General features: G+C 39.2%; 1 protein-coding gene across 1 annotated transcript in view; it reads right to left on the bottom strand.

Moving 5' to 3' along the window:
* The window catches only part of HS6ST3 (heparan sulfate 6-O-sulfotransferase 3), a 749,456-nt gene that overhangs the window by 359,983 nt on the left and 373,633 nt on the right, over window positions 1-15,840 (bottom strand). The gene's annotated exons all lie outside the window — the stretch shown is intronic.

The raw sequence follows: 15,840 nt of genomic DNA, 5'->3' as shown, positions 1-15,840 counted from the left end.
GGTTACCATTCCCTCTCACCTGTATTGATGGGACAGCTCTCCCTGCCTCTCAATCCATTCTAATCCATTTTCCTGTACAGCCAGAGTCATCATTCTAAAGTTCGAACCTAAGCCTTTTTCTTCTTTACCTAAAATCATTCAATGATTCCCCATTGCTTCAAGGAAAAAATGGAAACTCTTTCCATGGCCTTCAAGGGCCTCCTAATCGTTCCCCTCTCCATGTGCATCTCCTGACCTTCCACTCTCTATGCTTCAGTCCTAGAAATACCTGATTTCTCTGGAACTACCATTATACAGCCTCACTGTTCCATCTTCCTGAAACACTTTTGTCCACCTGCCCACCTTTCTCTAGGCTAATTCCTTAGGAACCCGTTTAGGCAAACGCTTCCTTTCCTGACTTCTTAAGGCTGAATTGAGTGCTCCAGTGTCAACCTCTGCTCACTCCTGCTAAAGGTCAGGATATATAATCACCTGTCCCCTTGACACTCCTCTGCCAGGAGAGCTCCTTGACACAGACACTATTTTCTAGTGGTGACTCCATTCTTAGGGCCCAGCATGAGGGAGATCCAGCAGGTATTTGTGAAACAGAGAAGTGAAAGAAAGAATGCTTGGATCCAATGTGCCTCCCTCCTGGTTTCCCTTCTCAGTTATTCCAAAGGTATAGGACAGAAGGAAAGAGAAAGGATTTAAGAGTCTAATCAATCTGTCTTTACACTCCTCTTCTACCACTTGGAAACTTTGTGACCCTAGGCAAGCAACTTAATCCTTCTTAGCCCCCAAATCTCCATTTGTAAAATGGTAGTAATTGTATATATCTCCCTGATACAGTTGTAAATCGTAGTATCTGCATGACGGAGTTGTAAAAATTAGAGTTGTGAACATAAAACAGGCACTGAGTGAGAGGCACAAAGCAAACGCTAAATATAAATGGTAGGTCTAATAGTATTCTTGTTATTATTATTATTGATCATATAAAAACTGGCTTGATGGCAGCAATGGAAACACCTGGAAGTGAGATCAGATTTCATTTCAAGCAGGAAGAGAGTAAACAATCAGACTAGAGATGAGACTATGGAACTCTATGGAGGATAATGGACTCTTACTTAACCCCCCTGCCAGCTGCTTCTGTCATCCTCATCCTTTCTATTTCACTATGTACATTAAGTTTTAACCTACTCTGACATTTCTTCCTTTTTTGCCGCTTAGGACTCCGGCGATGACTGCCTGCCTTCTCCATGTTCTCTTCTCTTATCGTCCTTAAAACCCTTCTCTACACATTTTCACTGTTCTATCTCTGGCCAAAAAGAAGCAGGCAGTTAATAAACACAAATAAAACTGAGCAATCCATCCTCACTTAAAATTACTAAGTCTTAATTTCAGGTCTTCCAATGTTCCCATCAGTCATTAATTCAACACATATTGATTGAGCTCCCACTGTTGTAGGCCTGGGGCACTGAGCTAGGTCCTATTTTTTCTCTCTGAGCAAATATTAATTAGTTACAAACTACTAGCCATATTTAATTCAAATAAAATTTCTCAAAGGGAAAAGTTCCCCTTCTCTTCTTGATACTTTGTTTTATGGATACCCAGGCAAAAAGAGGTTTTTGTTTGGTTTGGGTTAGCTTTCGGTTTTTTGTGTGTATGTGTGGAGTATGCAGCAAATTGGTAATACAATATATTATTATTATTTTTTTTATTTTTATTTTTGAGATGGAGTCTCACTCTGTCACCCAGGCTGGACTGAAGCAATGGTGCGATCTCGGCTCACTGCAACCTTTGCCTCCCGGCTTTAAGAGATTCTCCTGCCTTAGCCTTCTGAGCAGCTGGGATTACAGGTGCCCATCAACACACCTGGCAGATTTTTGTATTTTTAGTAGAGACGGGGTTTCACCATGTTGGCCAGGCTGGTCTTGAACTCCTGACCTCAAGTGATGCGCCTGCCTTGGCCTTCCAAAGTGCTGGGATTACAGGTGTGAGGCCACCGTGCCCGGCCGGTAACACAGTATTTTGTTTTGGGTATATATGAGACTTGATAGTTAATCATAAAAATTAGTTACTTCTTTGATTGAACCAAAGGTGTAGGGCAGGCATGGATGCCAGTTCTCTTACACTAAGGACCTAAGCCTACAAATACATAAACACATTTACTTCTTGAACATAAAATCTCACTAGTGTCAACAAAGCATAGCCATTGTCACCTATTGAAGAATATAGTAATTTTTAGTTTTTTGTGTTACTTGCTGTTTTCATTCCTAAAGGAGTTTGATGACTGAAAGGAAAATTCCATTCGCATCCCTCTCTTCTTCCATTATCCCAGTCTCCCAGCTCAAAAGGCACATTGCTTAAACTAAATGAGGCAACAGGATAGTGGAGAGAATTCTGATCAGGAACTCCAAAGGTTTATCATCTTACAGCTAGTGCTAGGTAGAGTGTAATTTCGGTGATGGGGAGAGGGAGGAATGGGGAGAACTCTAAACTCAGCCTCTGGGTCCTCATGAGGAAAATGCAATGAAATGCTACATGGCTAAGGTTTTACTAAAAGGAGTTGATTTTTAAAACATTACACATAGGAAGCTGAAGAGTAACCTTTCTCAGTAACTCATGTCCAATATTAAATAGTCTTGACTTTCAGGAAATTCCTCCTTACAATTGATTTCAACTCTTCATCTGTGTAAAATGTTCTAAATTATTTAGGAGAACTCAAGGATACCATCAAATCAAGGTGTTGTCATCCTCAGCTCCACTCCACCAGCTTTTTATAACAGCTTTTCCCCAGGAATTGGTTTCCCATCATTAACAGCATAAACATACTTCCCTTTCTATGATTCAAGGCACTACACCCCAAATAGATCTCATCCAAGTAAGCAACACAAGCGACGTTCACAAGATCTAATGTCACTGCAGGTAGAAAACTGTCTCGGCCAGGCGCGATGGCTCACGCCTGTAATCCCAGCACTTTGGGAGGCCGAGGCTGGCCAATCACGAGGTCAGGAGATCAAGACGATCCTGGCTAACAAGGTGAAACCCCGTCTCTACTAAAAATACAAAAATTAGCCAGGCATGGTGGTGGGCGCCTATAGTCCCAGCTGCTCTGGAGGCTGAGGCAGGAGAATCTCTTGAACCTGGGAGGCGGAGGTTGCAGTGAGCCAAGATCACACCATTGCACTCCAGCCTGGGTGACAGAGGAAGACTCCATCTCAAAAGAAAAGAAAAGAAAGAAAAAGAAAACTGTCTCAAGGAATCATTCAAGTCTAGTTCTCTGGCTCTCTGTCCCCATCAGCAACCCATCCATTGTACGTGTCTAAAGACCCCTAGCATCTGTCAAAAAAAATTAACCTAATTATCTGGAGTGTTAAGAAGTGTTTTTGGAGTGTTAAGACTCCAGCAAAGATGAAGGTAGCTTCCTCTTATCATGTCCATTTCAGATTATTCCTTAAATTTAACACCTTTCACCAGCTATGAGAATGTACCATTCATCCCTTTTAACAGAAATGTAGCTACCTCTTATTTTCAGGTTATTGTTGTTCTCTTCAAGGAAAAATTTACCAGCCTCCAAGGCGTCTCAGCAGGTGAGCCTACATTCTTCTAAAGCAGTCTGAATATGAGGGCTGAGGGATCAGGATGGTTTTTCGGTTAGTTTATTTGTTTTCATGATTCTTCCTGCCCTTCCTCCTTTTAGCCATGTGAGGGTTCTTGGATGAGGTTAATCCAATCATCATGAGCTCCATTTCAATTTGCAAATTCCTCATTCTCGCATATGGCCATAGAGGTCTGTTTGGCTTACTATGGTGACTCATCAGGTTTACCAATGGACAAACTTAGAATGATTTCAGTTGATTTTCTTTTTTGACCTGTGACCATTGTTGAATGACTTAAATCCTTAATTAACTAGTATATATCATTAGAAAAACTAAATTCAGAACAATTTAGGACAATTTTCTTTCTTTTCTTTTTTTTTTTTTTTTTTGGTAGTACTCCGCTGGGTAATGCAGCTAGTTTCTCAGAGCTGTATTCCGGCCAAATAGCTTTTGCTGATACGTGTCTTAACAGACTGCTGATGGTCAAGGGACATGCAGACGTTTCCAGGGAAATAAAAGAAAACTTGTGAAAACTAGCTTGAAGGACACATTATATATTTATTATCAAGCAGCTAAACCATTATGCTTGTATTAGTGCCCAAAGCCTTCAGGAAAATGTGCATTCCTGGAACCTGTTCTAATAGCTTCTATCAGCTTCCTGTCATCCCCGTTTAGTGTGCCCAGAGCTACAGGAGCACGGACTGTCCTGTTGCAAGGCATAGCTTAAACCAGGGAGCAGCTTCTAAGTCATGGTCCATCTTCTTGATCCAAAACGAGAAAGGTAGAAAACTGAAGAGTAGAATAGCTCAGAGAATGCAATATGTTCTCAACCTAAAGATGTTCAGGACTGTTTGTTTGGGGAATCAGAGCAGGAATTTCCAAAAGCAAAATATAAATTAAAAGGTCTATTTAGGGACAAAAAAAAAAAGTAGCCTCACTGGTGAGAGAATAGAGTTGCATTTAGCTTTGAACCTTGCATTTTCTCCTAAGGAAATCCCAATTACTGTCAACTGCTTCCCCATAAGATAACATGCTTCAATAGCTAATCCATAGAAAAAACAGGTTTTGAGTTCTCCTCTCAGCACTGCACTCACTTTCTATTTGATCTTATGCAATTTTTAAAAATGCCCTGTGCCTTAGTTTCTTATCTGAAAATTTAATACAGACAGAGCAATCCAAAGATTGTTTGAAAAAGATAATTAAAACTAGTCTAGATAGAGATGATAATTTTCTATTCATTCTTTTCCTATTAAGTTGAACAAGCCTCCCTGGGCAAACATTCCAGAGAGGTCGTTTTTTCTGGGCTTCTGATTTCTCTTCATTGGAGCCGATTATTGTTCTACCTAGTGAGGTGGCTGAATACAAGAAAATCACTCCAAATTATTAACGTATTACATTAAACTCTTATTACTGTATAGCAAATGCTATATTTTGTTTGCATTCTCACTAAAATATTGATGTGGTAATGCATACTGATTGTATAATGCAAAGATCTCTCTTAAATTCTGTGATTGGACCCACACCGAGTTAGCACTGCTGTCTTCCCAGGCCCCTATATTTGCTCTTCATCTAAGGGATTTGTCATCCTTCCTGTTTTATTTTTAAACATTTCCTATCCGTTTGAACACAGTCACGCCAGTCCCTAAGCTAACCTACTCAATGCTAATACACCATCGTCACCTTTCCCAAGCTTCGGTCTCATCTCACTGTGCTCCTCTCCAAATCTGACACGTTGCCATCACTAACAACTCAGTGTGATTAAAGAAACTGTCACTCTCAGTACTGTGCTTAATGCAGAGCCGTAACATTAAGATGTGTCCAACAGAGGAAAAAAATTGAAGGAGGGGGGTACATAAAATGAAGAGGATTCATTGACCAGCAAAAATCAATGAAGCAAAAATGGGCCATTTTCCTCTCATTGATATTCACTGCTCATTGTAGGTTGACAGCAGTCTCTGCAACATTCCACTCCTTTTGTGGTTCCCAGGAAAGCCAAGCGACAACACAGGAATGCTCACCACATTTGGCGAGGTCCTTCCCATTCTACCGGGTGAAAACAATAGACTGGAAAGAAATTCACATTAAACAAAGAAACAACTATGGTTTCCCACTTAGGAGTACACGGTAGCAAAAGTGTTCCTGAGCAACACTGTCCTCACTGGTTTCTGATGAAATCCCTCTGCAGCCTGTGCTCAGTGGCCTCTTGACTTTGGCCAGCCACATTCTCAGTTACTCTGTCCTGTGGGAATCAAGACCTACCCTTTTCCCGACTCGACCTTCCTATTCCAAAGGCATCTCATTTTACAAAAAGTGCCATCCATCATCTGCAAAAGCCAGGAAGTGTAAGTCCCTGCCAAGAGCAGGGGCAGATATTCTGAGTAATTGGACGCCGCCTCTGTAGACCTAGCTGCCGCCTGAGCAGCTGGAGACAAGAGGTGAGATGACAAGAAACCTTCCCCAGAAGAGGTAGCGATGCCAGACACTTAGGATTTCATCTCAGAGGCAATCAGGTGTGTGTCAAACTCCCTACCTATTTTTAAACAGCACATGCATTCTAAAACAAGCCAGCATATACTTTTTTAAGAAGTTATTTACCGTGATGTGTCATGCAGTCACTTGCTCTAAGAAGGTTGGCACGAGAGCTCAGATAAAGATAAACTCTTTTTGATACATGCCTGGAATATGGAGGAGCTCAGTCGTGGCTACACTCATCACCCTTAGTTTTTCCAATAAGAAAATAACCTAATAACAACTAAGTCTCCATTTCCTTATTAGCATTCCACTAGGGGTACTCCAGGCTATGCCTTTAACTACATATCAGTCAATGGCAGGGCAAGAGTGCTTCCTGTGTAATTAAAACCGCCATGTTCAGGCAGATACTGCTAGGCAAGGTAGTAGCCTTGAAATACTTACAAGGAGGTGGGGAAGAGCACGCATTTGGCTTTGGAAAGTGACTTTTAGGGTCTGAGTATGTGCTTGTCATACTAAATATATGGATTCTCTAAATGAAAAAATAATGCTTACAAAATCAGGCCAACAATGGTATATTGGTTAAGGGCTACCACCTCATAACTATAGAAATAAGATATTCCAAACATAGGCTTACTGTGAATGAATAATAATGAATAAATAATTCATAAGTTTCCAGTGAATGAACTGTCTTACAAGTAACCAATCACCACCCTTTTCTTCCTCTTTCTTTCCTCTCTCCCTCCCTTCCTTCCTCTCATCTTTTCATCTTCTCATTCTTCTTTCATTTCACAAACATTGTTGATTGGATAACTACTAAGTGCCAGGTGCTGTGTTAGATTCTAAGGACACTAAGTTAACTGAGGTATTGCTATAGCCTTTGAGGAACGTTCAATTCTACTTGAAGGAACAGATGGCCGAAGCAATGACAGAGCACAAAATAATAAGTACAATGCTGGAGACAAGCACAAGATGCCAAGAAGCACAGAGGAGGGCATCGATGTGTGTTTCATGGAATCATGGAGGGCTTCCAGGAAGAAGTCTTTTCTTGACCTCAGTTTTAAAGGTAAAATAAGAGTTAGCTAAATAAAGAAGGCCAGAGGGGAGTCAGAAAGAACAGCATGCAAGATATGCTATGCTCAACAGAGATTCAACTTGGCTTGAGCCAAATTGTACATATATAAGGGCAAATGAAAAAGAAATGAGACTGAAGAGATCACCCAGTTGCAGCTGCACACCTAGCCACCTAGCATGCTTAAAGAATTTGAACTTCACTTTGAAAACTAAAGTCATTGAAATCATGTAAGCAATTTTAGGATTCTAGTAGATTGGGTTCTTGTTCCCAATTCTTACTCCTTTCCACTGCCAGAGGAACTTGCAATAGAATAGAGAAGATGAAGTATACATCTCACCAACATTTAGCTTGGCCCTGTCCCTGGCCTTAAATAGTATGTGGGTGGTAGTGACAGCTGCTACTTCTGAGCCCAGGCCTTTAGAAGCAGCCCATGTTTCCATGAAGGCTGCTGCCCAAGAAGAATAAGCCCCAGGTAGCCTCTGCCTCTTCAGTTCCGATCCTTGAAGAAGCACCAAACCCAACCAACCTCAGCCAAAATGAGCCAAACCTCAGCTCCTACATACCCATGAACAAGAAAAATAGATGCATGTTGTTATAAGTCCCTGAGATCTGGAGTATTGTTTCTTATTCTGCCTTACATTATAGCAACAGCTGACTAATATAAGCACGATTCCATTCCCCACCCTCCAACCTCTGCTTCTTAAACCAAAATAAAGTGATGGTCAACTCAGAATCCATAAGGACCATTAGCTCTTTTGATAAGAATAATATATCCCATTGTGTCAATAAGGAAAGTGCAGAGGAGTATGGAAGCTATCCTGGATAAACTCACTGTCTTGTAAATGAGGAATATTAGTCTTTAGAGAGTTTAGATGGCTTATGAAAATGAGAGAATCCTGGAAGACAGCTGCTCAATCATTCACTGGATTTTTAAGCAAGCATTGAAATAGACATACACTGAGTGCCTGTTCAGCTCATGACCCCCATTCTGCGAGCAGCCCATGACATCCTAACACCCTCAAGGTGCAACCCCAGAAGCCACGTTTCTACCACTTGTCTCTGCTCCCCCAGCATAGAGGACTGGAGCTGAGGATGTATAAACTCAGAAGAAGGAAAAGGATGCTGAGAAGAAGGAAATCTGGTCTATAGAAGGAAAAAAATTGGGCTAAAACATAGAAAGAAGCAGAAGCTAGTAGTTATTTGGCCCCTGAAGGCAGAGGACATCCAAGATAAATGTCTTGGTTCCTACAGCTGTCTCTTCCTATTCTCAGTCCTCCATGCCCTGGCAGCACTTTCTGTTGCTTGACCCAAGGTGTAACTCTAAGTCATAATAATAAATTCTCCTCTTGCTTATGCTGGTGGAAGTTTCTGTTACTGGAATCCAAAAGAAACTGGAGGAAAATATATGCCTACTTTGTGTCATACATGGGCTAGGCATCAGGGATATAAAGCAAATAGGTCAGACAAAAGAATAAAATTTTTTAACAGTTCCTGGGTTATGACAAAAAAATTACAGATGCTATTTCTTTCCCAGACTTGGAGGCCTCCACAATGTCCTCTTGGAGGAACCGATAGTTAAGCTGAGACCTAAATGGTAAATTGGAGGTGGCCAGATAAACACTTTACCAAAAAGGATGTAAGGAACAGGGTCACAAACCATACAGGTGGGCAGGAAAATGTCTGAGAAATGGCCTCGCAACTGAGCAAAAAAGGGCAATGGCCAATATTGAGAGAAATTTTAGTGGAGTGGTGAGGACAGAGGCAAGAGTGCAGTGGGTTGAAGAGCTGAGTGGGAAAACAGAAATAAACGTAGACAACTCTTACATTTTCAAGATGCATGACTATGGAAGAGGCAAGGTTCTAAGTGGGGAGGCGTATACACAGGATGACAATGGGGAGTTTTTTTGTTTGTTTAAGTGGGAAGGGCTTCCCATTCCAGATATGAGACACAGAATGACATATCTTGAAGAGGGTTTCTTTTGTGGGAGATGATGAGCAGAAGGGACAGTACAATGAAATTGGGAAGTAATGTGTCAAGAAGATAAAGACAGTCCATTCAGAATATGCAAATTTAAACTAAACTGTTCTTCCTATAAACCAACTGTTTGAGAGGAAATTATTTAATATTTGGGGGAGGGGGAAATGCTTTGCCATCCTTAAAGGGAATGCTTAAAAACTAATTACTGTTCCTAACTTATTCATCCCCAGTGCCTCACCAACATGATCCTTTTGTAATAGATTCATATTTCAAAGTGTGGAATGAAAAAAGCATGTGCCAACCAGCAATGACACCAAGACAATCCTCTCAGGTATAACAACAAGGGAAAAAGTGAATATGGGGAGATTTTTAGCACTACTGTATTACAGGGTTGGTTTTCTTTTACAACTCTCATTTTCCAAGGGTACTCAATATATATCAAACAAATAATTTGAAATTTTATTTTGTTGGTTTTGAAGAATTTTCTATATGTATGTAGCAATATTTGATAAAGACTTTCTTCTTAAAATTAATAGTGTTTTTAGAGACAGAAAAATATTAGCATGAAAAGAATGCTATCTGTTGTAAAATGACCAGAGCACAGAAATTTTTGTAAGTGTTGTACCAGTCACGTTTCCCAGACCCTTAAGTGGGATGCTTTTAAGTCACTGCCATAACCTGCCACTACTACCATTATTAATTTCTACCAACATCACCATTACCATCACCACCACCGCCATCACCACCATCACCATCACCACCACTACTATCTCTATTTTCATGACCACCACCACCTCTACAAATATCATCAACATCAGCTAGTTTCCTAGCATGATCTCTGAACCATGAGTTGCTGTTTGACTCAGTAATTTTTAAAATGGCTCATTGAATGGCAACCAAGTTCTGGGCTACTTTTGCTCCTGAAACTCCTTCCTTGCTCTTTTTATGGTTAATTACTATAGAAATACAGGCCAATGGCAAGGATGGAAAGTGGAGAATTAAACCTCAGGCTGAAAGGTGGAGGAGCTGGATACCATCTAGCGGTACTGTGATAAAGACCTGCTGCTCAAAGCACACTGGCCTGCTGAAGGATGGAATTTTGATAGGAACTTCCAAAAATAGCATGTGCAGCCATGGCTTTATTTTTAATGTCCCAGCATTGATCAAAAAAAAAAAAGTTGGGGGAGGGATTCAACTAAGCCAATGACGGAGAAAACTAATTTCATGGTAAGATAATTCTAAAATGTATTTAAGGTGCACCGGCAAGACCATTTTCAAAGAAATCTGCATTACAAAACATGCATGGGAATTGAAGACTCCATTCAGACAACCTCCAGCTGCTAAAGAAAAACAGTTATTCTTTAGTTCTCTCCCACTGTCTCCTGTAAACAATTTTATGAGGGAGAAAAAAAACTTCCTTACCACATTGGCCCTCATCAAAAGAAAGACACAGCATGGAAATATTTTCATTAGAAAAAATATTTTCATTAGAAAAATATTTTTTTCTTTAGAAAAAGACATGAATAAACAAGAGGAAAACAGTGGTGCTGAAATTATTTATTAGCTTCCTTAAAGGAGATCAATATGGAAAAGTCATCGAAAATGCCCTTTTTCAGGGCTTGCCAAAGAGAGAAGCTCAGTGAAGGCGTATCTTCTTGTGAGCTGTTATATTTTATGTTTCATGCCAAAAGTTCCAAAGTAGAGATTTCACTTCTTAAAAATGTCCAAAATTCTAAATTATAGCTTCCACAGGCTCTGTAAACAAGGCTCTATAGGATACGTATAGTAGATTTCTCTTGTTGTTTATGATGATAACATCCTGCTCTTAGTGGGCACATGTTGGGTGGACTTAAACTTGCAGTGGGAACTATAATTCAACCACAGCCCTGCAACAGCATGTCTTTTACTTCTAGCTTCCTCATTTTCCTTGCAGAAAAAGAAGACAGAATTGATAATATTATGGAGTGTGTGTGTGTGTGTGTGTGTGTGTGTGTGTGTGTGTATGTGTGTATGTCCTGTTAAATGTTAAATAAAATTCAAATGGCCACACAAAGTAATTCAATTAAATCATCATATAACCAAATAAATGTTCTATCAGTTCCATTTCTGTGCTCTTATTCAAATTCATTTCCATTTAAAGACACCCAATTTCTTCCTTTCTGAGACTTCTTATAAGTTATGAGGAAAAAATGCCCATTCAAGATGCCCAGCACATCATGCCACATATATTTGTACATTTGTTTCTAAGGCTGATTTCTCATTTTCTTAAACTTAAGGCTTAAAGTTCTTATTTGGGAACATGTACAGCAATTTCTGGCATTCTAAAATGCAAATCACTGCTTGGAAAAGTCAACAATAAGGTATGGTTAAAGAAAACAGAAGTTGTAATCATTAGGAAAACATAGCCCTTAGATGTCAGCATAAAGAAACGTAGGACTGAATACTTCCCCCCAGGATTGGGGGTTTAATGAAGTTAGTTGAATTCCTGGGTTTCAGCTACAATGTTGATACTGACTAATGCTGTTCCCAGTCCATACCTAGCTCTTGCACCAATCCTGTACTCTGCTTTATTTCACACTGAAGTTGAATGCCACACGTGTACTGGGTATAAACAGTGGGTCAAGAGTTGGCTGCCTGGTTTTTAAATTCTCAGTGTACCATCTAGTAGTTACAGGACTTTGGGCACATGATTTTCCTTCTTCTTCTCAATGTACTCATCAGCAAAATGGTGACAAATGGTACCCATGTGATAGAATTGTTATAAGGATTAGGTGGGTTAATATGTGAAGAATGGTTATCATACAGGAAATGCTAGATTAATGCTGTGGTTATCATCACTTATTATTAATTATTATTAGCACAGATATCTGTTCCTTTAGATTATAGGTTCCTTGAGGAAACACACCAGGCCTTGTACATTCAGTAATGTGAACAAGCCTTGTACATGGTAGGTGCTCAACACATTAAACCTGTCTACCATCTGGTTTTCATTAGAAACTCTACTAAGGTAAAGATTCAAAATGACCACGGGCACAATTATAAAAGAATAATGAGAATTCCAAAAATATCCCATTTGGCAGCATGATCTTGCTCCTCTTTTCCTACGAGACTAATTAAAGAGAAACGGGACTCAGGACAGATTTAAGCAGACGACTGTGCCACGTGCTAAGATGACAGTCCTGCCTTCTTTCTCCTTCTTATCATATTGAATAGTAATGCTTGAGAGATAGCTTCCCATAGAATAGGCAAATAGAACACATGAAGAGTTGGGAAATATAATCAAACTTTGAAACTTCTAGGAAAAAAACAAGGCTGGGAACGGTATACATGATATGGTGAACTCAAGCAAGCAGAGCTGACTCAGAGACAGAAGGGAAGTTTATACATATGTTGCAATGGGAGTCAGAAAGAATATATCAAAGATATAGGTGGGAAGATGAAATGATTGAAACAAAGGAAAGCAGCTTCTTGTGCTATCTTTGGCTTCAGTAACACTGTATATAATTTTCTAACTTTTAACACTAACATCCCTGCTAAGTATAGAAAAATCAAATTCTACTTAGGGGTACCCACTATCTTCTACTGTGACCAAAGAGTTTTCTTATGGCACACATATACACTTGTCTCATCACAGGAGATTTCCAACTTAAAAATAATAGCATGATGGCTGTCATTTTTTTAGCTCTATTAAAATATAATTGACATAGAATTGCATATATTTAAGGTATCCAACTTCATGGTTTGATACATGCATGTACTGTGAAATGATTACCACAATCAAGCTACTTAACAACATAGCCATTACCTCCCATAGTTACCATTTCCTTTATTTCTCGTTCTCTTTCTTTTCTTCTTTGATTTAAAAAAGAAAGAAATCCTGACATTTGTGACTACATGAATGAGCCTGAGGAACATTATACCAGGTGAAACAGGCCAGACATAGAAAGACAAATAATGCATGATTTCAGTTACATGTGGAACCAAAGGAGTCAAACTCGTAGAAGCAGAAAATTGAAGGGGTGGGACAGCAGGTAGATGGAGGGGGCAATGGAGAGACGTTTGTCAAAAGATACAAAGTTCCAGTGATGCAAGATGAATAAGTTCTACAGATCTAATCTACAACATGGTGACTATAGTTAATACAGTAATCGAATTGTACACTTGAAATTTGCTAAGATAGTAGATGTTTTTTTTCTTTTTTGAGATAGTCTCACTCTGTCGCCCAGGCTGGAGTGCAGTGGTGTGATCTTGGCTCACTGCAACCTCCGCCTCCCGGGTTCAAGCAATTCCCCTGCCTTAGCCTCCTGAGTAGCTGGGATTACAGTTGAGCACCACCACGCCTAGCTCATTTTTGTATTTTTAGTAGAGACAGGGTTTCGCCATGTTGATCAGACTGATCTCGAACTCCTGACCTCATGATCTGCCCGCCTCAGCCTCCTAAAGCGCTGGGATTTCAGGCGTGAGCCACCGTGCCGGACAAGATAGTAGATCTTAAGTGTTCTTACCACACACACACACAAATAAAAAAATGAAAGAAAATGTGTCATTCCTTTTAGATTAACATTTTTATTTGGAAAATTTAGACAACAAAAAGAAATCTTTAAAAATTTAAAATTATTTTTAATTCTATGGCTCATAGAGAGTGTTGTTAATGTTTTGGTTTATTGCTTCATTTTTAAATTTATTGAGACACTAACCATAATATATACATCACAATGTATATAAAACATAAGAACATTTTAAAGAAGCAGAACCAAGTGAACACCTATGTAAGCACCACCCAGGTTCAAAAGCAGAAAATTGTACTTTACCTCAGACTCTCTTTTTTGCTCCATCCACGATCACGCCATATTTTTCTAAGCATACCCTCATCCTCTCTCTCTCCATGAGTCTAACATCTGTTTTGCCACCTGTGGGTTGCATCCTTAAGTAATGTATTTAAAGTTGTGTTTTGTATCTTTATGTAAATGAAACCGTATACTATGTACAACTGGAGGCTTGCTTCTTTTCATTCCTCCTTGTGCCTGTGCATGATTTATCCGTGGGAAGTCTCAAACTGTATTTCAATTCTTTTCATTGCTGTGTAGTATTCCCTTCTATGAGTATTCCCCCATGTATGTCTTGATTCTACTATCAATGGACATTTGGGTTGTTGTTTCCATATTCTGTTGCTAAGAATATTTGTATGACTGTTTCCTGGTACAAATATGCAAAAGTTCTCTGGGGATTCCACTTAGTAATTTAGTTGCTGGCTTCATGAATTATGTGCAGACTTAAGTGTATTAAGTGATACCAAAGTGTTTTCCAGAGTAGTTATACCAATATCTATTCCCAACAGAAGTGGGTAAGCGTCCCCATCTACAACCTAATCATGGGTGTTATCAAACTTCCTAGTTTTTGCCCACATGGTGAGTATGCCTACTTATAACTATTGAGTTGGAGCATCTATTTGAATCAACTTCGCCATTAAAGTTCCTCGTGTGTGGGCATGCACACACACACACACACACACACACACACACACACACACACGAAGCATCTTGCCAATATAGTAGATAATGCACTTACTATGGACACTGTGGATAACTATGTGCTGTGATAAAATTAATCAAAATATAAGAAGCTTCTCTGGCTACCCTGCCTTTATAATCTAAAATCAATATATCAATGATTGGATTAGAAAAACTGTTATGGTTGATGGCACCATTATTCACATAATTGCCCAAATCAGAACCTGAAAATCATTCTACTCCTGTCATCTTATATTACCGACCTTCCAGTAGGTGATCAAATTCTACTGAGAATACTTCTTAAATGCATCATGATTTCTAGAAAATCAGCTCCCTCTTCTTCCATTATATATGTAACTACGTACTTATATATTCTATTTTTACTTATATAAGTAAGTTTGTTTCCACTTTTTAGCAATTACAAACTTTGATGCTATGAACATTTTTGTAGAGTTATGTATTTTTCTAGGATATACATTGAAAGTGGTATTTTAAGTCATGGTATTACTGAAACACCAGGGTTTCAGTCTAGGTCCTGCTGCTTGTCACACAGAAAGCCAGTGACTGAGACAATGATTGTTGCCAAGGAAAATGTCCTTATTCAGGTGCCGCAGCCAAGGACATGGGAGATCAGCCTCAAATTTGTCTCCCTGACCAATTAAAATTAGGAGTTTATATAGCAGAGAAGAAATGTAACAATGTGTAAGAAAACAGGAACTGGGTAGGGGGGTAAGGAAGCAATCATCATGATGAGGGGTTTGGCATCTCATTGTCTAGATTCATGATCTGGAGAGTTTCAGATCTTTGATTTTTTTTTTTTTTTTTTTTTTTGAGGCCTGACAGTCCTTTCCTGAGGAGGTAACTCAGATAAAACAAACTTAAGTTTCAAGCTTTAAAACCAGAAGGGTCAATTTCTGTGTTTATTTAAAAAAAAAAAAAAAAAAAAAAAACCTGTCTATGGGACTAATGGGACAGATTCAATGGTAGTATATGAATGTTTAAATTTCTTAAGAAATCCAAAAGTGAATGTGGGTTCTCCACCACTGGTATAACCTCACAACACGTTTTAGTTTGATAGCTTTACTGGGTGGTAAAGGTATTTCACTTTGCTTTCAATTCTTTCCTTGACTAATAATGTTATTTCACATCTTGTCACATGTTGTGAGCCATTTATGTTCCTTTTTTCTTGTGTTTATTTTCTATTTTCCTACTGAATTGTCTTTTTCTTAC

Source organism: Homo sapiens, chromosome 13, assembly GCF_000001405.40.
Source record: "Homo sapiens chromosome 13, GRCh38.p14 Primary Assembly".
Taxonomy (NCBI): domain Eukaryota; kingdom Metazoa; phylum Chordata; class Mammalia; order Primates; family Hominidae; genus Homo; species Homo sapiens.
The sequence above is the reverse complement of the archived record's forward strand: the minus strand, read 5'-3'. Positions and strand labels throughout refer to the sequence as shown.